The following is a 23,184-nucleotide window of genomic DNA, read 5'->3' as shown; positions in this document are numbered from 1 at the left end:
CTGTAGTGAGCTGTGATCTCACCACAGCACTACAGCCTGGGTGACAGAGCGAGACCTTGCCTTTAAAAAAAAAAAAAAAAAAGACAACAAACTGCTTCCAGAGAATTAGTGAAAGCAAATATTAAAATTCTCTGGGAGATGAAAGGACTGATGGAAGCCAAGTATCTAAGATGCTACTACCATTTTCTACAAAGAAATGTCTGGGTAAAACAGCAGCTGCTCCACCTTTTCTGAATGGATGGCTTCATTAGCTGAAAGAAAGGAAACATTAGCTGACAGAAAAGAACTAAATTGTTCAGAAAAAGTAGTGTTAGCTACCAAGATATTGTACTATTAAAAAAAAAGATATTATACTATAACTAACTTTCTCCTGGATGTTTAGACAAGAACTTTGTGAATAAAGTTAGAAAAATACTAACATTTAAGTACAAGGTACTATTCATAATATTTAGAAATGTTTTAATATAGTTTAAGTTTCCTATTTTTGTATATTTTATTAATATTTAAAATATTTTATACTAAACAAAAGAGATTTTTGCCATCTCCTATTGAAATAAGGCAATTTACAGGGAAGGGAGTTTCAATACAAACCATCACCTTCTATATCAATTTAGTATTCTTCAAGGTGTTTGAAATTCATTATTATCTCAGGGGATATTGTTGATCATTGTTAACTTAGTCTTATTATAAAGTATAAGAAATAAGATCTGAAAAACTTAATAGAATTTCATTTTAATAAGTATATTTAAAGTTTATCGCTTCCAAAAAACAGCACTTTAATTACATTCAAGTTGTATTCATTTTAAATACCAACAAACCCATCATTTACATATAGAGCTAGATATTACAAAACAGATGGAAATTTAAACAAGTTTTTTTTTTAAGTCCTTCCAAATTTAGAACATTGTGAACTATTAAGTACATGCCTAAAAAATGTACACATTATCAGGGAAACACAAGTTGCTCTAATAGGAAAAGAGCCATAATACACATACAGTGGAATATAATTCAAATAGGTTCAATTTACAGGTATGTCTTAAAGTACAAGAAAACCCCAAAGCTAATAACTAGAACTATAGGCAAAATCATAGCTGACTTTCTAAACTAATGCACCACTATATAATGCTTTCCCAGAGAAAGTAGAAGGTTCTCAAGATTTTATGTTGACCCATGATTTTTCACGTGTTCTCAAATATAAAACCAGAGTTTTCTTTTTGTCTTTAATTTACACTCATGTTTGCCTGTTTGCTTTTATAAGAATAACTAAAATGTATCATGAGAAGTGCCATCAAACCTGTCTATTTAGAGCTCAGTAACCAAGACATTTCTTTCATTTTTCCCTGTTGCTCTATTTTCCCTTCAAAAAGTCTCTAAGGAAATTTTATAAACAGTGGTGGTAAAAAGATAATTCTGAGATGGCAAAGAAATATGAGACTTGGCACAAGCACGGATTTACAAAAAAAAAATTATCCCCCATTTATTAAACCATATATGCGAAAAAGGAAAATCATATCTGAAAACATAAGCCAGTGAAAACATACTGAAAAAAAATGGAAGGCGGCACTTAGAATTGTGGCGCTTGCAGGCTTTAGTTTGGAAGACGCACAGCAAGCAAGCTACCAGTTGAGAATTTTTAAAAACTTGTATGAACTTGTTTAAATTTTGAACTTGTTTCAATCAAGTTGTAGCCAAAACAAAAAGGTCATAATTACTGTGCTCATATAAGAGATGTGACGAGGGAAGGAGGGAGGGAGAAATGCAGGAAAGGAGCGGGGAGAGGAGGAAGGGAGGAAGAGAGGGAGGAAAGAGTAAGGTACACATCAGGTTAAAAGGGGCAGAATTAGGAATAAAACTAAGCACTTAATCTAATCTGATCAGGAAGAAACTTTGCCCTTTATTCAGATTTTATTGCATTTCATAATCACAGAAAAAGAACATCCAACTTTATTCTTAAATGTGTCTCAAGTTAAAAATGGCAGAATGAATAGCCCTTAGTTAGCACACACTATTTTTAAAAGGGACACTTGTAGAATTTCACTGGTTTTTTGTTGTTGTCCTTGTTGTTGTTTTCCCCGCTTCTTTTCATAGGTGTTGACGTATTTGTTTTCTAATGATAATCTTAAGAGTTGACTCTTCTAAAATGGTGCTCAGATGTTCTGATATATTCAGGCCTTTCTTAAACAACTTACTCTGCATTAAAAAGTCATCAATAAGAACTGTAATTCAGTGTTTTTAAAAATGAAATGTTTAACTTCAAATTGTTTGTTTAAAATAAACTGCTATTGTGCCAAATAATGAAACTACTATTTTATTCATTACAAACATCATATAATCATTCTCTATAATCACTATAAAAATTTAAATGCTTCCTTTCTCCTGTATATGAAGATGGTAGTTCTAAAGCAACACTCTAAAAGTGTTAAAAAGCCCATTCGTAACACACACCCCACCTCAGTTTTTGAAAGTCAGTGCATTCAGTGGTTATAAATAGGCATGATGTTCTTCCACAGCTAAGAGTTCTAGAAGAAAGGGGAAAAAAAAAGATAAATAATCTGAAAGGTTCCTAATGATCACAAATACTGCCAATACTCAAAGTCAAGATGGTATAACCTGAGTGTCAATCAGTTGTGTTTTTTTCTCCCAAGGGAAGACGTTCCCATAACTGGAGCAACTGTTCACCAACCAGAGGTTCTAGTTCCTAGATAAATCAGAAGTCAAAATAAACATAAAAAGAACTGGAGTGAAAATTTTTAATGACCAAAACCTACACTGATAAAAATGTAAGAAAATCACTTTAAATTTCATTTTCCTACCAGCGTATGCTAAAATCATCTGGTATGAATTGTTCTAATTCTTTGCTTTAAGGTTTATGGAGTTGACTTCCAGATTTAAGATTACAGTTAATCTGCAAAATCTCTCAACTTTTGTGACAAAATGGCAACAGATTCCCATGGAGTCCTGGAACTGTTTCTACCTAAAAATAATGGATTTTGTTTTTCATAGAGATTCAGCAAAAGCACTCAGCTGGAACTTCCAAAGGTTTACTGTGAAACCTAGCATATTCGATGTTGGGTTTTTTTCCAAGGAACTCTCTTAAGCAACTATATCTTCTTATCTTGAAAATTATTAAAATATTTTTTCTTCTAAGATTTCTAGCTAACATATTTCTTCAAAATCATTATTATAGAATAAAAATGAAATTATTCTCACACAATTGAAAAGAATCCCACTTCATAGTACTCCTGTGGAATGATAACCTATGATAAGCACTTAAGAAGAACCCAAACACTTTTTACATGGTGATTTGAAACGAGTCATACTGGTTCAGATAAATTATTAGCTGTGTGACCTTAGGCAAAACTAATCTTTGAGTCTATTTTCTCCTATATAAAATTGGACTAATAATTTAATCATAAGAAATAAATTATATCTTCTAAAGCAGCTAGCATAGTATTTGGTCAATATACATTAATTTCCATCATCTTAACTAGCTTAAAATGCATGTAAATAGCATCATGAAGACAAAGCAAAACACAATAGAAATAAACAAGCCACTAGAATATAAAAAGGTTATTTACTTTACATAATTAAAGCCAAAGAGAAGTTAAATACTATTGTCATCTTGAGACTCTGACTGCAAGGAGCAATCAGACACATTTACAAGTAGGTTTTTACTATCTTTTTACAAACCTGAACCCCTGTTTCCCATGTGCATATGGAATATAAAATTTGTACTCTTACATTTTCTCCTCAATTAAAGCACTGGATAACAGAAAACAAACAGAAACAAAAGTAAATAAAAAAAAAAATGCCATTGTATACCTGCCCATCCCTGCTTATCTGCACTTTCTTGTTGTCATTCCATGGATTGAGTAAATGGTGTGCAAATTGAAAGGGAAGGCTTTCTTTTCGTATCCACTCCACCTTAAATACTCCTCCTAGTCCAGCAGAGCCCCAGTCCTGACTCTTTTCCCTTCCAATCTCAGAAGACATCCTAGAAAATCCCTGTAGGTAAAATGGGAGGAAGGAATAGAGGTGAGGAGGAGATTAGCATGTCTAAATTTAATTTATCTGAGAAGGCTGAGTTTTTAAAATTTTAAGATTAAGATATAATATTGAAATAACAGATACCTAACAAAAACAAAAAATAAGCTACTAAATTTTTCATTAAAAGCTCTCTTAGCAAATTTTAGAAAAAAACAGTTCTAGCCTCCTAACAATTTCAAATATCAATAATGATTTCTAAATAAAATAGCAAAGTCCATATTTTTATTCCATGATAAATGGATACAAGCTAACCTCTAAGCTTTCATTTCCAAAAATTATAATAAACATCAAATAATAAATGTATTATTTTATAAATTCAGGTATACATTAAGTCAAGATGGGTGATGGGTTAAGAAACATACTTAGTTTACTGATTGTCAATACTAACTTCCTTGGCCTATTTAAATAAATATTTTACCAAAAGGTCAAGCTTCTCATTACTTTGAATCCACTTGAGAATTAGTAAATCTAAAGTTGTCTTCAGAAGGAAACATAGTTTACCTGGAAAGACTCTGGTAAGACAAGGCAAAAACAAAGAGGATTCCAGTTCTATCATCCTCTAAAGAGATGCAATATATCCCTTATTCTCAGTCAAGCAAAAGGCATTCTTGCATTCTGATGCAATGAAAAGCCAGTTGTTTTTCTAAAAATCTCTATGATTTAACCTATAGCCAGAACAACCCCATTTTACTGATTCAGGGTGGCTCACCTGGAAATGTCCAGATCCTTGAACAGAAAATACCAAGTAAACTATGCTGCTTTCCCAAAAGGCTCGATTTAGCTTCCGTTCATTACTAGGAGTTGTAGACCAGATACCCTTCTGTTGAGAAATTTCAAGGTTTCTCAAATTGCTACTCTTCATTATGAAGTATCGAACAGGCATGTTTGGTCTTGGCGAAGGAGATTTTGAGCCCTATAAAAGAAAACATAAGTTCTTGAAAGGTAACCTGACCTTTCAAAACCAAGAGGCTCCATTAAATAACATCTTCATAAACATATAAGCCAAAATATTTTATCATATATTCAACAAATGCAAATAGCTCTATCATGTCTGAAACCTACACAAGACTCAACCAAAATAAAGTTAGCCAAAAACAAGTACTCATTTTCAGAGCATTCAAAATCCCTTATCAACAAAGGCTCCTGGAGTACCAACTTTGGTTTATACCTCAAATATACTTTCAGAAATTGTTTTAATAAACTTTCAAAATCAGAAAACAAAACAAATACTTCTCCAGCTTACTGCCTGGAGGCAGTTTTCAGAGGACAAAGAAAAACAGAGTCCAGTGGTCTCATTAAGTTGTGCAGAAAGACACTGGAGTTCAGAGACCGAAGTGGCTACTGTGCATGGCAATGTACTATCTTAGACAGAAAGGAGCTGCACATAAAGAGAGCTCCAAAGGAAACACAGAGGGGTTCCCACAAGTTTTTGGCTAAGTGCTGACCTGAACATGAGTGAGAAAAAAGATAAATAACCCAAGGCTAGGGAAAGATCCAAAGGAAAACAAGTAGACCAAACAATTCCTAGAGCTCACTCATGGCTGGGAATATTTCGTGTTATCTTCAGCCAGAACAGATAGAACCTGTAATATATATGGTACTGGCCCACAGAAGGGCCATACCTTAGTATTGGAACTAAATTAATAACAGAATAAAGACTGCTCTGGCCCATTCCTAACATTACTTAAAAGCAAACTTCAAAAGGATTCAACTGATTGCAACTAAACTGTGCATCACAACAAAGTCTAACGCTATTGAAAGGAATATACAAAAACCTAGCTGCCCAACAAAATTATAAGAAACACAAAGAATATACAAAGGTTGTTATTTACATAATTAAGGCTGAAGAGAAGTTAAATACTGTTGTCATCTTGAGACTCTGATTGCAATGAGCAATCAGACACATTTACAAGTAGATTTTTACTAGCTCTTTACAAATCTGAACCCGTTTCTCATGTGCATATGGAATATAAAATTTGTACTTGCATTTTCTCCACAGACAAAGCACTGGATAACAAGAAGACAAAACAGAAAGAAAAGTAAAAGAAAAAAATGCCAAAAGTAATAAACAGAAACAGTCTCAGAGATGACAGAGTTGATGTAATTAGGAGACAAGAATGTTAAAGCATCTGTTATAAATACATTCATTATGTCCAAGAAGGTAGAGGAAAACTTGAACATAATGAGAGGAGAAATGGAAGATATTATTAACTTTTTTTAGGGGGACAGGGTCTCACTCTGTCATACAGGCTGGAATGCAGTGGCACAATCACAGCTCACTATAAAATCAAATTCCTGGGTTCATGTGATCCTCCTGCCTCAGCCTCCCCAGTAGCTAGGAATACAGGTGGCCCATCACCATGCCCAACTAATTTTTTTATTCTTTTGTAGAGATGATAGGGTCTTCCTATGTTGCCCAGGTTGTTCTCAAACTCCTAGCCTCAAGCTATCATCCCAACCTGGCCTCCTAAACCACTGGGATTACAGACATAAACCACGCCGGGCCAGAAGATATATATACATATATATATATATATATATATATTTTTTTTTTTTTTAATTTTTAAAAGACTTGAACTTCTAGAGATGAAAATACTGCCTTTAAAAACACATTAGAAGGAAAGAACAGCAGATTAGACACTAAATAAAAACATCAGTGAACGTACAGACAAAACAGTAGAACTATCTGAAATGAAGACAGAAAAATGACTGAAAAAAATGAAGAGAACATCGGTGACCTGTGGAACCATATGAGATGGTCTTACATCTGTGTATCCAGAGTCCCAGAAAGGAGGTTCTTCAGGCAGAAGTAAATAATACAAAATGGACATTCGTATTAACATAAAAGTATAATGAGCACAAGATTAGTAATAATAAATGTAAAAATATATTTTTCTGACTTTGAAATCTTCATAAAGGTAACTGACTATGTAAAGTAAAAACAATACATTATAGCATTTATATAAAAACAAAATGTATGAAAACAATATAACATAAAGGAGTAAAGTGTAAAATAAAAGAACACTGTTGGCCAGGCATGGTGGCTCACGCGTGCAATCCCAGCACTTTGGGAGGCAGAGGTGAGCAGATCACTTGAGATCAGGAGTTCGAGACCAGCCTGGCCAACATGGTGAAACCCTGTCTCTACTGAAAAATACAAAAACTTAGCCAGGCATGGTGGCACATGCCTGTAATCCCAGCTACTCAGGAGGCTGAGGAAGGAAAATGGCGTGAACCCAGGAGGCTGAGCTTGTAGTGAGCCGAGATCGCGCCACTGCACTCCAGCCTGGGTGGCAGAGTGAGACTCTGTCTCAAAAAAAAATAATATAAATAAATAAATAAATAAATAAATAAATGGCTTCATAAGTGAATTCTATCAAATATTCAAGGAAGAAATAATACCAATTCTACACATCTCTTCTAAAATACTGAAGTGGGACAAACACTTCCCAACTAATCTTATGAGGCCGGCATTACTCTGACATCAAAACCATACAAAGATACATAAGAAAAAAGAACTACAGAATAATACCCCTCATGAACAAAGATCCCTCATTTAACAAAATTATATCCAGCAATATATAAAAATAACACCATGACCAAGTGGGGTATAAACATAAGAAAATCAAGCAATGAAATTCACCATACTAACAGACAAAAAATGCTTTCCCCCTAAGATCAAGGGAAAGATATGTGGCTCTCAACACTGAACAATATTTTGCTGGAGGCTCTGGCCAGAGAGATAAGGTAAAAAAGAAATAAACAGCAATCAGATTGAAAAGGAAAAGAGTAAAATTATCTTTATTATCAGAAGGCATAAAAAGCTAATAGAATTAATAAATGAAATAAGGTCATAGGATTCAGGGCAGATATACAAATATCAAATGTATTTGTATATACTAACAATGAATACCTGCAATTAAAATTCTAAAGAACAGTATCAAAAACATTAAATACTTAGGGAGAAATTTAACAAAAAATTGTAATACTTGTACTCTGAAATTTATAAAACATTGTTGAGAGAAATTAAAGACTATCCAAATAATGAACAGATATACTATGCTTATGGATTAGAAGACTAAGAAGTGTTAATTGTTGATTTTCTTTAAATTGATCTATAGATTCAATGCAATTCCACTCAAAATACCAAAAAATTTTTCTGCAGAAACTGATAAGCTGACTTTAAAGTTTATATGAAAGTACAAAGGACCTGGAACAGCCAAAATAATATTGAAGAAGATAAACAAAGTTGAAGGACAATTGATTGAAGGATTAACTGATTTCAAGACTTACTATAAAGCTACTAAAATAATGTCAGTGTACCACTGGCAAATATATATATAATAATATGTCATAAATATTAATTATATTAATATATAAATATACTATATATTATGTATGTACAATATATTAATATATAAATACATAATATATATTACATATAAATACATTATATATATTATATGAATACATAATATATATTTATATATTATATATGAATACATAATATATATTTATATATTATATATGAATACATAATATATATTTATATATTATATATGAATACATAATATATATTTATATATTATATATGAATACATAATATATATTTATATATTATATATGAATACATAATATATATTTATATATTATATATGAATACATAATATATATTTATATATTATATATGAATACATAATATATATTTATATATTATATATGAATACATAATATATATTTATATATTATATATGAATACATAATATATATTTATATATTATATATGAATACATAATATATATTTATATATTATATATGAATACATAATATATATTTATATATTATATATGAATACATAATATATATTTATATATTATATATGAATACATAATATATATTTATATATTATATATGAATACATAATATATATTTATATATTATATATGAATACATAATATATATTTATATATTATATATGAATACATAATATATATTTATATATTATATATGAATACATAATATATATTTATATATTATATATGAATACATAATATATATTTATATATTATATATATATATAGAGAGAGAGAGAGAGAGAGATATTAATGAAACTGAAGAGTCCAATAAGTAGACCACATATTTATGGCCAGTTGATTTTTGACAAAGGTGTCAGTGTAACTCAATGGAAAAAAACAAATGGTTTTAACAAACGGTACTGGAACAATTGTATAAGCAAAAGCCAACGAGTAATTCTTGACTCACCCATACTATAAACGAAAATTAACTTAAAATAAATCATATATCTAAAATGTAAGATTGCCAACTATAAAACTTCTAAAAACATAGGAGAAAATTATGATCTTGGGTTTGGTACACAAAATTTCTTAGTACACAAAAAAATACTAATCATAATAGAAAAAGCTGATGAAATGGACTCCATCAAAATTAAAAACATTTGCTCTTCAAAAGGCACTGTTAAGGAAATGGAAAGACAAGCCACATACTGTTAGAAAAAATATGCAAAACATATAATAATTAAGCCTTGTACCCAGAATATACAGAAAACTCTTACAACTCAGTGAAAGATGACAAATCAACAAAAACCAACAACAAAAAGTGAACTAAGATTTGAACAGACATTTCACAAAGATGATACACAATGGCTAATAAGCACATGAAAAGATGCTCAACATCATTAGTAACTGGGAAAATACAAATTAAAACTATAATGGCCTATTACCACATACCCAACTGGAATGGCTAAAATTACAAAAGCTAAAATGCCAAATATTGTCAAGAATATGGAGCAAATGGAACTCTTAAGATTGTTAAAGGAAATGCAAAATAGTGCTGTCATTTTGGAAAACAGTTGGACAGTTTCTTGTAAAGCTAAATATACATTTATCAAACAACTCAAACAATACTAATCCTAGGGATTTGCCAAATAATAGAAAACATATTTAGACACAAAGATTTTACTTGAATGTTAGTACCAGTTAGTACAATGTTAGCAACTTTATTCATAATAGCCAAAAAGTGCAAACAACCCAAATGTCCATCAACTGATGAATGGAAAAACCAACCATAGTCTATCTAGAAATGGAATACTACTCAGTAATTAGATAAACTAATAATATACTCAACAATATGGATAGATTGTTGATACACTGAATCTTATGTATGTAGCATTTTGTGTCTGGCTTATTTCACTTAATAGAAATTTCAAAAGGATTCTATTAAGTGAAATAAGCCAGACACAAAACGTTACATATATATGATTCCATTTACAGGAAATTCTAGAAAAGGCAAAACTCAAGGGACAAAGAGCAGAACAGTGGGTTACCAGGGAGTAGGGGTGATGGAAATGTGTAGATGATTGTGGTATAGTTACATGATTGTATACATTTGCCAAAATTCATTAAATTATACAGTTTAAACTGGTGAATTTTATTGTAAGTTACACCTTAATAAAGGTGTATAAATAAACCAAAAAACTTCAAAACCTAAGAATGCAAATCTACAAAAACATTTATTTTCCTCTTATTTAACAAAGAGTATTTCAACAGGCACATTCGCCAAAATACAATATGCAGCTAAATAACCCCTAATCAAATACTTAGCTACTAAAACAGTAAAGTCATCACATCATGAACATTTAAAATTATTCTTATTACAAGTTTTTTTAAAGATAGTTTTCAATTTCTTATCAACATCTCCTACCTTCCTAACCCTATCCCATCTTGTTTTTTTTTTAATATAACCACTGTAGAAACCAATTAACAATAGAAAGAAACCACTGTTTTCGATTCTGAAATTATAAACCAAAGTTAAATTAATCTTTTTGTTATTTATTTTAGCAAAAAAGTTTCTAAAGGGCTGGGCATGGTGGCTCACACCTGTAATCCCTGCCACTCGGAGGCTGAGATGGGAAGATCACTTGAGCCCAGGAGTTTGAGGCCAACCGAGGCAACAAAGGGAGATCCCCATCTATAAAAAAAGAATTTTTCTTTAATCAGCTGGGCATGGTGGCATGCACCTGTGGTCCCAGCTACTCAAAAGCTGAAGTGTGAAGATCACTTGAGCCCAGGAGTTCAAGGCTGCAGTAGATATGATTGTACCACAGCACTCCAGCCTGGGTAAAAGAGTGGGACCCCACCTCAAAAAAAAAAAAAAAAAAAAAGGATTCGAAAGAAATAGGAAAGAAATAATAAACAGCCTACCTACATGCCAGTAGTGAATGATCTATAGTTTTAAAGCATTCTAAAATACCCCAAGATGGTAATAACTAGAAATATTTGGCATGCAGGAAAAACTTTAAAATTTACTCAAACTGTATCAAGTTTGCTAGCTTCAACTTACATCTAGAAGAGGCCACAATTAGAAAAGTACTCTAATTGTTTTACAATTTTATTTACCTAGGATTACATGTGCTACAAATCTGTTCCTTACTACATTTTCTTTCAGATACTCTTACCTTTCCTGAGGATGGAGGAGAAGGACTAGCACAAGGACTTGGGTAACTACTGCTGTCTGTAGATTTCAGAGAAGACTGATCTGATCGGTCCTCAGTACCTCGTTTAGGATGTAAAATTCCTCTATCTTTGTACTTCTGAGGTGGGTGTAATGCTGGAGATGGAGATTTCATCAGTACTCTTGAGCAAGAAGGAGGAAGCAAAGATCAGTTATATATAAGTTCGTCATACAAAGATCAGTTATGTATAAGTTTATAATACAAAGCAGATGCCATTTCAATCCAAAGTCCCAATGATCTTATGATTTATGGAATATTATTTAAAAATACTAAGGTCAGGAAATATAGATGTCTATGGCAGTTCTAAATTTACAACTAACTAGGTATGAGATCCTGAGCAAGCCTCGTAACTTATTGGAACTTTAATTTCCTTATCTGTTAAATAAAATAAAAGGATTATATCTAAACTCCAAGATTTTTATATTCTAAAATTCTATGAATAAATGCCACAAACATCGCAGTCAGGAATTTCATAATCTTTCTTAAAGTATGGGTCTTTCTGGGACAGACATTAAGTACTTCCTGATGTATTGCAATATAAAGTTCACAACACCACCTATAAAATATTCTTGTTAAAACACTGGATCAAATCAAACCCTGAGAGCTAACCACCAGCTTATATAAGATACATAGGGTATGGAGTCCGGGTGCAGTGGCTCACGCCTGTAATCCCAGCACTTTGGGAAGCCGAGGCGGGCAGATTACGAGGTCAGGGGTTCGAGACCAGCCTGACTAACATGGTGAAACCCCATCTCTACTAAAAATACAAAAATTAGCCGGGCGTGGTGGCGTGCACCTGTAATTCCAGCTACTCAGGAGACTGAGGCAGGAAATTGCTTGAACCCAGGAGGCAGAGGTTGCAGTGAGCTGAGATCGTGCCACTGCACTCCAGCCTGGGCGACACAGTGAGACTGTCTCAAAAATAAAATATAAAAATAAATAAAAAATAAAAGATACATAGGGTATAGAAATAAATAGTGCCAGGAAAAAAACAGAGACAAATTCAGAATGTAGGACATCTCACAGTACCACTGACCTAGTTCCTTGAACATTTCACCTAGTTGATTTATCTAACATTATTTTGTTTTTTCTTTCCTGCTTCCTTTCTGTTTTGGCTTACATATTTAAAAGTAAATCCCACACATCATGTCATTTTATCCTTCCATATTTAAATATGCATCTGTTAAAATGAGTGCATTGTCCTTACATAACCAAAGTGGTTACCAATCCCAATAAAATTATCATTTCCTCAGTTGTCTCAAATTATTGATTCCTTTGAATCAGCATACAAGAAACACTCATGCATTATATATTAGTATGTCACGTTTCTTGAATCTAACAGAACTTTTCATAGGCTGGTTTAGGAATAACTCTACCACAGAATAACTCCTATGGAAATATATTCCTACATCCTAAATAACTAATGCTCAAGAAAATTCTAGAACAATATTTTCAAAAAGTACGGTGTATCTAAGTAAAAAAATTACTTCTTAGTCTTCCCCTTTTTCTCAGCAGGGTCTAGACCAGAAAGAAAGGTTCAGCACACATTTTACAAGCTTTCCTTGGAAACTGGTTAAATTATTACTAAAATGTAATATCTGAAGAACATGGAAACCAATGTTTTATTCCTCTTTAAAGGCTTAAATGATATTAAGCCTTTATATTTCATTCAAATATGCAAAAATCTGATCAAAAAAGGTACTAAAAACCCCACCTGATCCTTGAAAAACAGTAAGCATTACGTATCTTTTATGTTTCCATTGTTTCTATTTTCAGTTTAACTATAAAATCAAATTCTTACTACAGAGACTTTTCTACCAGTATTGCCAAAACTAGCCTCATAACCAAGAATGTTTTTTGTTATGAATTTTAACAAGGTGAAAACCTGATTATAAAATAACTTAAATTTGATTCTAACAAATGTTTTTATAACCAGAAACACTTCTGAATCATGGCCAATGATTTATTGTAACCACTATCATATTACTAAAATATATTTTTTACATAAATAATTCAGTATGCGGTATCTCATTAATATTCATAAAATAAACAAAAACACCACCACATTTAATTGCAAAAGAAGAAAAGAAGAATTTGGCTAAATTATAACAGAAATCTTGTCATATGACAGTAAATTTGTTTACTTATTATATGCCTCCCCTCAATCAAATGTATATCCTCTGGAGGAGATCTTACCTGTTTTGTACACTTCTAGATCCCTCACACCAAGAACTGGCATTCAATGTGTCACTGAGTGAAGTACTTTTCTATAGGAATGCTAATCAGCAGTATTGATATCTAGATAAGGCTTATAAGGAGGTTGTTCTTTTAAATGGCCATAGCCAGTATGGCCCAGGGTATCTAGGTAAAATGTTACTTCACATATATCAAGTAAAATACATAATTTTAAAATGTCTATATATTTTTGAGAGACCCAATTCTAGAAATTAGATATTTTGACCTTTTCCTGACAAAGAGTTGCCTTATTAAATAACTCACAGATATCAATAGTTTAAAATTCATATTACCTTAATACTTAGAAGAATTAAGTTGAACAAGTAGAAAACTCTTTCCACTTTATTGCTATCTTTTCATGGATCTTAGATTATAAAAAAGTAATTTTTAAATATTATAAAAGCACATGATTCTAAGATAAATAATTCATTTTCCTGAATAAAAAGTGACCCATTTTGGTAAAATGTCATAAATTTACCTTTCTGCAGTAGTACACTCATCAGAAAATTCAGTATCTGCTGAACTTTTCCTACTATTATTTGACCTCCAAGATGAGGCCAAAGGAAGCTCTTCTGAAGACATAGGCCTTGGCCTTTGGCCAATCCCAGATGGTTGTTGTAAACCTGCAGACTGTTCTTCAGTGCTTAAAACAGCTATAATTGCTCTTATGGTAGCTTCATCAACTTGAGACCAAGGTTTAGATGGAGCTCTCATTCGGCGTAAAAATAAGCTATGCCACTTCTGTCTGAGCTGCAGCAATAAACTAGCTGCCTGTAATAGTTCAAATAGATACAAGCAAATGAATATCACATATGCAAAACACCTATGTGTTGATTAGTTTCCATTAGTTTGCAACTGTTTCCAACAAACTTATTTCACATTTCATATAATTTACTACTAATTTCATTATTTTTAATGCATGAATGAAATAAAATTTATTTATAATATTTTAGGCACTAAGACACAAAATCAAATTAAATAGTCTAATAAGAAAGACAGTAAACAATAGTTGTGGCAGAGTGTGATTAATACTGGAAAAGTAGCAGCAGGGTAAATAAAAATATATGTAGCTCATAGTGTTATTTTAGTGCCTGTAGAACATCCAAATGATCATGTCCTGAAGGCAGCTGGATTCACAGAAAGGTCTAAGACAGAGCTCTAAACTTGAAAGTCACCAGTTCCTAAATGATTGCAAAATATACACATAGAGATAAAGTCCCCAGGGAATGTATAGAGGGAGTAAGAAGATAAGAGTAAGACACAAAGTGCTAGAGAACTTAAAATTTAAGGCACAAACACACACAGCAGGGTCTGTGAAACAACTAAGAAGGACTGACTACAGAGAAAGAATTAAGAAAGATTAATGTTACAGTAACTAGTGACAAAGAATTTGGGGCAGGAGTAAGGAAGAAAACTGGGGAAGGGCAGGAGTACAAAAAGGAGGATATGGACAATAGTGATAAATAATAGAGGTCACATTTATCCCAGACAGCAGACTGACTTTGACAACATGAAGGACACAGTTGACCTTGGCAAGTACAGTTTCAGTGAAGTGATGAATTGGTGGGAATGGAAGTGAGAGTGTAGTAGGTTGAAGTGATGAATGAATGGATGCTAAAATAGTAAACCTAGCCAGTGTTAACTATTGACAGCTTGACGCCTCCCAAAAATGTATAGAGAATGATCTTGGACAGTAGAGATAGAATCAAGGGGAGGCTTTGTCATGAAAATTTGTAATTTGAAAAGAAACATTCATCCTCCCTCAAACCCCCAATTCAGAAGTATATGCAAAGAGAAAATAGTATGGAATCATATCTTTCTCTCAGAAAACACAGTTACACAAAATAAAGGGAGTTCTTGTGTACCCAATACTCAATACTTTCTTATATATCCAGAAATACTCAAGGATTACTGCTACAGTTTGAAGTTTTTGTCCCCTCCAAAACTTCATGTTGAAACTTAACCTCCAATGCAATAGTAATGGGAGGTGTTGGCCTTTGAGGGGTGATTGAGTCATGAGGGCTCTGGCTTCATGAATGGGATTAGGTATCCTTATAAAAGAGCTTGATGGAGGGAGTTCATGCCCTCTTGCCCTACTGCCTTTTGCCATATGAGGACACAGTATTCCTCCACTCTATAGGAGGCAGGGTCCAGCAGCCCTCAACCGACGTCAGCACCTTGATCTCAGACTTAAGATCCTTCAGAACTGTGAGAAATAAATTTCTGTTCTTTATAAATTACTATAGCAGCAACAACAAACTAAGACAATTACCTTGCTTAAATAATGAGCCACAACTAGGTTTTCCAAGTCCTCTGTTGGAATAAACCCCAATACAGAAGAGAATGAATGAGGTCCCCAAGAAAACTGAAAAACAAGTTATATTCTCTGATACTAAGGGCTCAATAGTAAAGAAAAAAATTTTATCATATTATATATCAATTCACACTAACTGAATGAAAGAAATTTATTACACTACTTGAAAGCAACTTACCTCTGGCTCCAGTGTGAAATGGAGCCACTCATCAAGTTTCAAGGCTGCCAAATTAGCTGTAGTTTTGTCCTCCATTTCACTATCACTACTGTCATTGGGAATGCCATCCACTGTCCAAGTACATAATGAAAAAAAAATCACTTTTACCTTCTTACGTTATGGCAAAAAACTAAGAAGAATAAATACGCTTCATATACACAAACCCTCCTGACATACAACAATTTGTGTGGGAAGTCCTTCAAACTCAAAAGATCACATGTTAAATCTCAGTATTTATTTAAAAGGAAAAAAAAGGGACCATTTGAAGACTATAATGTCTCATCACAATGCAACAAAATAAAAAAGACAAGAATATAAAATTTGAAGCACAATCTTTAATAACTGGATGAAAAAGAAACAAATAACATAATTCAAGGAAGGAATGACTATACTACATATCAAAAACTATGAAAGGTGCCCAAAGCAATACTCTTATAAAGTCACAGGTCAGTTTTAAAAAGAAAAAGTATACAGCTAAATATATCTAAGAAAAATAACATAAAACCCAAAGAAAAGTAGAAGAAAATAGAAAATTATAAAAAGATGAATTAGAAAGACAAAATGGTAATTAAAACTATAACCCAGTTCTTTGAAAATATTAATAGATAACCCTCTGTAAATTTAATAAAGGAAGAAGAAAGCAAAAATCTATCTACAAAATTAGGTGAAAATGAGATTATAAAAATACAGAATGCATTATAAAATATGAAATTGATATAGGCTAAAACATACAGTATGTATAAATAATAAATTTGAAATCTTCAAAGAAATTAATTATTTTCTACACGAAAATTACTAAAACTGAAAGTAGAGGAACTAGAAGAACACAAATATATTTAAGGAAGAAATCAGAGATATCCTTAAAGAACATCAACAAAGAAATCCAGAATACCAAGTCTCTCAATTTTGCATGGAATCAAATAATGACCATTCCTGTAATGAGACAAATCTAAACCTAACCCAAAACCTGATTAACACCTAAAACCTACATACCGGAATATGTACAAGCACACACCACACAAACCCTACAGGTCAGCCTCCCCAATGAAGATAAATATAAGTTTTAAATAAAATGTTAGAAAAATATCCAGCAATGTAATAAATCACACTTAGTCCAAGGAAGGTTTATTCTCAGAACAAAATAGCAGTTCCATAAGAAAATCTATATACCACATCAATAGGCTAAATAATTTCTGATTATATGAACAAATGCTCAAATGCTATTTAGTAAATTCAACAAATTTTTAACACATACACAAAAAAACAAAACAAAACAAAACAAAACAAAACCTTCTATGCCAGGTGTGGTGACTCATGCCTATAGTCCCAGCTACTCAGGAGGCTAAGGTGGGAGGATCACTTGAGCCTTGGAGTTCAGGGTTACAGTGAGCTATGACTACTGCACCACTGCACTACATCCGGAATAACAGAGTGAAACCCTGTCTCTTAAAAACAAAAACACACACACACACACAGATACACACACACAAACACTATTCCGTTATTTAAAAGGGACACTTTTATTAAAATTAACATTATAATCAATAGTATAACTTTAGAATTTGAACCTTTAAAATTCAGTAAGACAAAATGGACCTTAATTCAGTTTTCTAATATCCTCAGAAAGAAATAAAAGGAATACATTTTGGTAATAAATGGAAGTATTACCACCTGAAGGTAATATAATTCAATAAATACAAAATCCAAAGGATTAATGAGTTTAATAAAGTAACAAGGTACATAAAATATATAATGTCTGCAATAATGTTTCTAAAGTTCAGCAAGAAAATTACACAAAGAGAATCCATTCACCATGACAACTAAAAACAGCAACAAAAGAATCTTAAGAATCACCTTAGGAAATATCCCCAAACTTTATAAAAGTTACCAAAAATATATATTTTTTAAGATAAATTTAAAATAAGGTATGGCTAATTAAAAGATACTAAATTTCCTGGATGGAAACATTAAATTAATATACAAAAGAGGCCAGGTGCGGTGGCTCACGCCTGTAATCCCAACACTTTGGGAGACCGAGGTGAGCAGATTGTAAGAGCACAGAAGTTTGAGACCAGCCTGGGCAACATGGCAAAACCCCATCTCTACAAAAAATATGAACATTAGCCAGGCATGGTGGTGTGTGCCTTTAGTCCCAGCTACTCGAGAGACTGAGGTGGGAGGATCACTTGAGCCTGGGAGACAGAGATTGCAGTAGGCTGTAATTGCACCACTGTACTTCAGCCTGAGGGACAGACCAAGACTCTGTCTCAAACAAACAAACAAACAAACAAACACAAAAGAACTGTTGTTTGCAAAAGGATTACAAGAAGATGACTAATGAATATTCATTATTTAAAAATAGGTAAGATTATCAAACAATAGCTCAATAACAGAAAGGCAGTAAAGAGTTACAGCTAGAGCTTCTACTACCAGATATTAGAATTTATTAATAAATAAAAATACTAAATAAAAAGGTGCAATATAAAGGCAGAAATGTAAAGGAATAGAGTATACAAAAAGGTTAAAGATACCAAATTTACCATGCAATCATGCAAGCTTTCTAAAGGAGGATATATAAGAACTGTTTAATAAATTGTACAGATGAGGGGAAAGCACTTGGAAAAACTTAGATCTTTGTTTTAGGCCAGAATCAACTCAACATGGTTATAAAAAATATTAAAAATCAAATTATAGAAAACAAAAACAATACTTATCACATCAATGGAGGGATGAAATTTTCTCAGCTTTGAAAGTGAATAGTATAGGAAAAGATTATTCAGTTTAAATACACAGCAATCAAAACTCAGAACTCAAAATACTAACACCAAAATGAATAATAGATTGACTTAAACATGACAGAAAAAAGATTAATAACATCTTTAAATTATAACGCTATCATTCAAATTTTTGAGTAAAATATCAGTACCCAAATAAATGGGCAGAAGATGAAAAAAACAACTCAACTAAAGGGCAATATAAAGAAATGCATGGAGAGTTATTTCTTTTTGACAGAAATAAAAAGAGCAAATGAAGGAATCTTTAAATATTTTATCTTTAAAACCAACACCAAATGATGGCATAGTTGCCATGAAATTCACTCTTAACGGTGCTAATATGGTTGAGTATGGAGAAAGAACCATGAATAATATCTATACATTTTTATCAAGTAATTCCCACTTCAAAGAGTTTTATCACGAAGAAAATATTAAATGAATTAAAGCAAAAGGACACACTGATGAAGATGTCAATGTAGCAATGCCCCATAATCTCATAAATTATCAATCATACTATTTCTACTCTCTTCATACAAACTTAATGCCCTCAGTCTCTCAAAGCACATTCAATAGAGCTAACCACTCCTTTCTTGAAACAGATTTGCCTCCAACACTGAATCACTCTTCCACTACTCAAATTTATATATTCTCTTTAAGAAATCCATTCTCATGTCTATAAATATCATTTACAAGCTGATGACTTCCAAATTTGTATTGCTAGCCCAGACATCTTCCCTGAGCTCCAAAAATGCATATCCAACTGCTTCCTAAAAAAAAATTTACTTAGAGTGTCTTAGCCATCTCAAACTTAACATGTCTAAAAAGAACCCTTAATTTCTCCCCTACACGACTTGCTCCTTCGTTTTCTGAATCTCAAATGAGTGACAAGCTACTATAACCAAAATCTGAGAATTGACTCCTCCCTTTCCCTTACTACCCACATTCAATCTAGCAGTTACTAGTACCTTCAAAATAATTTTATATCTACTTCTCTTCATATCAGCGATCACTATCCTATCTGAGCCATCATCTTGTTAGAAGACCACTGCAAAAGCCTCCTACCTGCCTCCACTCTTCTATTCTTGTAATTACTCCTGTAATTCATCCCCTTAGCCAAAATGACCTTTTGGAACACACCACGTCATGTCATTCCTTTACTTAAAACCTTTTAATGACTTCCTTTTCTTTGCATTTCTATGGCCTACAAGTCCTTGCTTTCCTTTCAACCTTATCATTGCCCTCTTCCATTGACCAGTGCACTCCAATCACACAGCCTTTCTGTCAATTCCTAGATAATTTCCTAGCACAGAATCTTGGTGCTTTCCCTCTTTCTCTACCTGCAGCACATTTCTGCTTTTCATGTGGCTGGCTCTTCTCATATTGTAGGTCTCAGTTTAAGTCTTCTCAGAAAAACGTGTCTAGGCTTTCTTTCAAGTAGGTCACCCCTAAGGCGATCCTCTTTGTATTTCCTTAATAGTATCATGCAGATTATTTATTTTTTACTGTCTGTCTACCCTCACTACTGTGTAAATTCCTAAGGACAGACACACACTGTTATACCTTCAATGTCTAGCACAGTACCTGACATATAGTAGGTACTAAATATTTGCTGAATCATTAAATAGCAAATAATTTGAAATCATCAAGATGTCTAACTATGAAGGAACATTTTAAATGTGTTATGCCAGGGGATCAATCAAGATGGCTTATTAGAAACAGCTGCAGTCTGCGGCACTCACAAAGAAGAATGAAAAGGCACAATGAATTCAGCATCTTCAACTGAAATATCCAGGTTCTCACATTCGGACATACTAGGCATACATACAAATCAACCCATGGAGAATGAAGAAAAGTAGGTGAAGGCGACAGCCCACACAGGAGCAGCACAGAGCAAAAGGAACCCTCACCCCCAGCCAAGGGAAGCAGTGAGTGATTATATGACCCCTCCCGGGAAACCACATTTCTCCCATGGATCTTTGCAACCTGTGAATCAGGGGATCCCTTTGTGAGCCCATGCCACAGATCTGTGTGGAGTGTTGGCAGAGCAGCCACTCAGGCACACACAGAAACGTAGGAGTTTTACATACTCTGGCCCTGGGATCCCTAGCAAGGCAGGAAATCTGTTTGTACATATCCCTAGGAAGGGGGCTGAATCCAGGAAGCCAAGCAGCATCATTCTGTGGGATCCACTTCCATGGCACCTCACCAATTATGACCTACTGGCTTGGGATGCCAGCCAGCCAACAGCAGTGGGTTGGTCTGTCTGAGATGGGGCCGAGTTCCCAGGGGGAGGGGTGGCTGCTATCTTTGTGGTTTGGTTGACTCAGCCACTCCAGCCTGATGGCTATACAGGCAGTCTGGATGAGGAAGGGTTCCCACCAATGCAGCACACCTGCTGTATCAAAAAGCAGCCAGACTGCTTCTTTGTACAGGTCCCTGATCTCATTCCTCCTGACTGGGTGAGACCTCAGAACAGGGGCTTCCAGTCACCTCCTACAGATGCATGTGGGCCAGCAACAGGCCAATAACCCCCAGGACAGAACTTCCAGAGGAAGGAGCTGGCTTCCATCTTTGCTGTTTTGCAGACTTCACTGGTGATACCTCCAGGTACAGGAAAAACTGAGGCAACTGAGGTCTGGTGGGGAGCCCCAGCAAACCGCAGCAGCCCTATGGAAGACTGGCCTGACTCTAAAAGAAAAACAAACAGAAAACAACAACAACATCAACAGAAAAGACTCCACAAAAACCTCATTCAAAGGTCAGCATCCTCAAAGATCAAAGGTAGATAAGCCCGCAAAGGTGAGAAATAATGCAAAGATGCTGAAAACTCAAAAAGCCAGAGTGCCTCTTCTCCTCCAAATGATTGTGATACCTCTCTAGCAAGGGCACAGAACTGGGCTGAGGCTGAGATGGCTAAAATGACAGAAGTAGGCTTCAGAAGGTGGGTAATAACAAACTTCGCTGAGCTAAAGAAGCATATTGTAACCCAATGCAAAAAAGCTAAGAATCATGATAAAACAATACGGGAGCTAATAGCCAGTTTAGAGAAGAACATAACCGACCTAACGGAGCTGAAAAACACAACAGGAGAACTTCACAATGCAATCACAAGTATCAACAGAAGCACAGACCAAGCAGAGAATAGAATCTCAGAGCTTGAAGACCGTCTTTCTGACATAAAACAGGCAGACAAGAATAGAGAAAAAAGAATGAAAAAAGAAATGAACAAAACCTCCAAGAAATATGGGATTATATAAAGAGGCTGAACCTATAACTGACTGGGGTAGCTGAAAGATAAAAGAGAATAGAACCAAGCTGGAAAACATACTTCAGGATATCATCCAGAACTTCCCTAACCTAGCAAGACAGGCCAACATTCAAATTCAGGAAATCCAGAGAACCCTAGTATAATACTCCATGAGAAGATCAACCCCAAGACAAAAAAATCATCAGATTCTCCAAGGTCTAAAGGAAAGAAAAAATGTTAAGGGCAGCCAGAGAGAAAGGCCAGGTTACATACAAAGGGAAGCCCATCAGACTAACAGTAGACCTCTAAGAGGAAACCCTACAAGCCAGAAGAGATTGGGGGCCAATATTCAACACTCTTAAAGAAAAGAATTTCCAACCCAGAATTTCATATCCAGCCAAACTGAGCTTTATAAGTGAAGGAGAAATAAGATCCTTTTCAGACAAGCAAATGCTGAGGGAATATGTCACCACCAGGCCTGCCTTGCAAGAGCTCCTGAAGGAAGCACTAAATATGAAAGGGAAAAATCCATTACCAGCCACTACAAAAACACACGGAAGTACACAAACCAGTAACACTATGAAGCAACCACATAAACAAGTCTGCAAAATAACCAGCTAGCATCATGACAGAATCAAATTCACACATAACAATACATAACCATAAAAGTAATATTGAAGGTAAATGGGGTAAATGTCCCAAGTGAAAGGCACAGAATGGCAAACTGGATAAAGAGCCAAGACCCACGAGTATGCTGTCTTCAAAAGACCCATCTCACATGCAAAGCCACACATAGGCTCAAAAGAAAGGGATGGAGGA

At 33.8% G+C, this 23,184-nt stretch overlaps 1 protein-coding gene across 11 annotated transcripts in view; it reads right to left on the bottom strand.

The window, feature by feature from the left end:
• Positions 717-23,184, bottom strand: part of YTHDC2 (YTH N6-methyladenosine RNA binding protein C2) — an 81,591-nt gene continuing 59,123 nt past the window's right edge. For 3 of the 11 annotated variants that reach the window (NM_022828.5, NM_001345975.2, NM_001345976.2), the window contains 7 exons: positions 16,306-16,415; positions 14,292-14,584; positions 11,522-11,699; positions 4,757-4,960; positions 3,823-4,005; positions 2,611-2,698; positions 717-2,519 (listed from right to left, as the gene is read on the bottom strand). In NM_022828.5, coding sequence (NP_073739.3) covers positions 2,618-2,698; positions 3,823-4,005; positions 4,757-4,960; positions 11,522-11,699; positions 14,292-14,584; positions 16,306-16,415 — 1,049 coding nt within the window. In that variant the 3' untranslated portion in view covers positions 717-2,519; positions 2,611-2,617. Of the gene's footprint in view, positions 2,699-3,822; positions 4,006-4,756; positions 4,961-11,521; positions 11,700-14,291; positions 14,585-14,627; positions 16,179-16,305; positions 16,416-23,184 lie in introns of those variants that run through there. The other 8 variants (XM_011543581.2, XM_047417529.1, XM_047417528.1 and 5 more) reach the window with 6 other exon arrangements.

Source organism: Homo sapiens, chromosome 5 (genome assembly GCF_000001405.40).
Source record: "Homo sapiens chromosome 5, GRCh38.p14 Primary Assembly".
In the NCBI taxonomy this organism is placed as follows: domain Eukaryota; kingdom Metazoa; phylum Chordata; class Mammalia; order Primates; family Hominidae; genus Homo; species Homo sapiens.
This window is presented reverse-complemented; position numbering and strand designations above follow the sequence as displayed.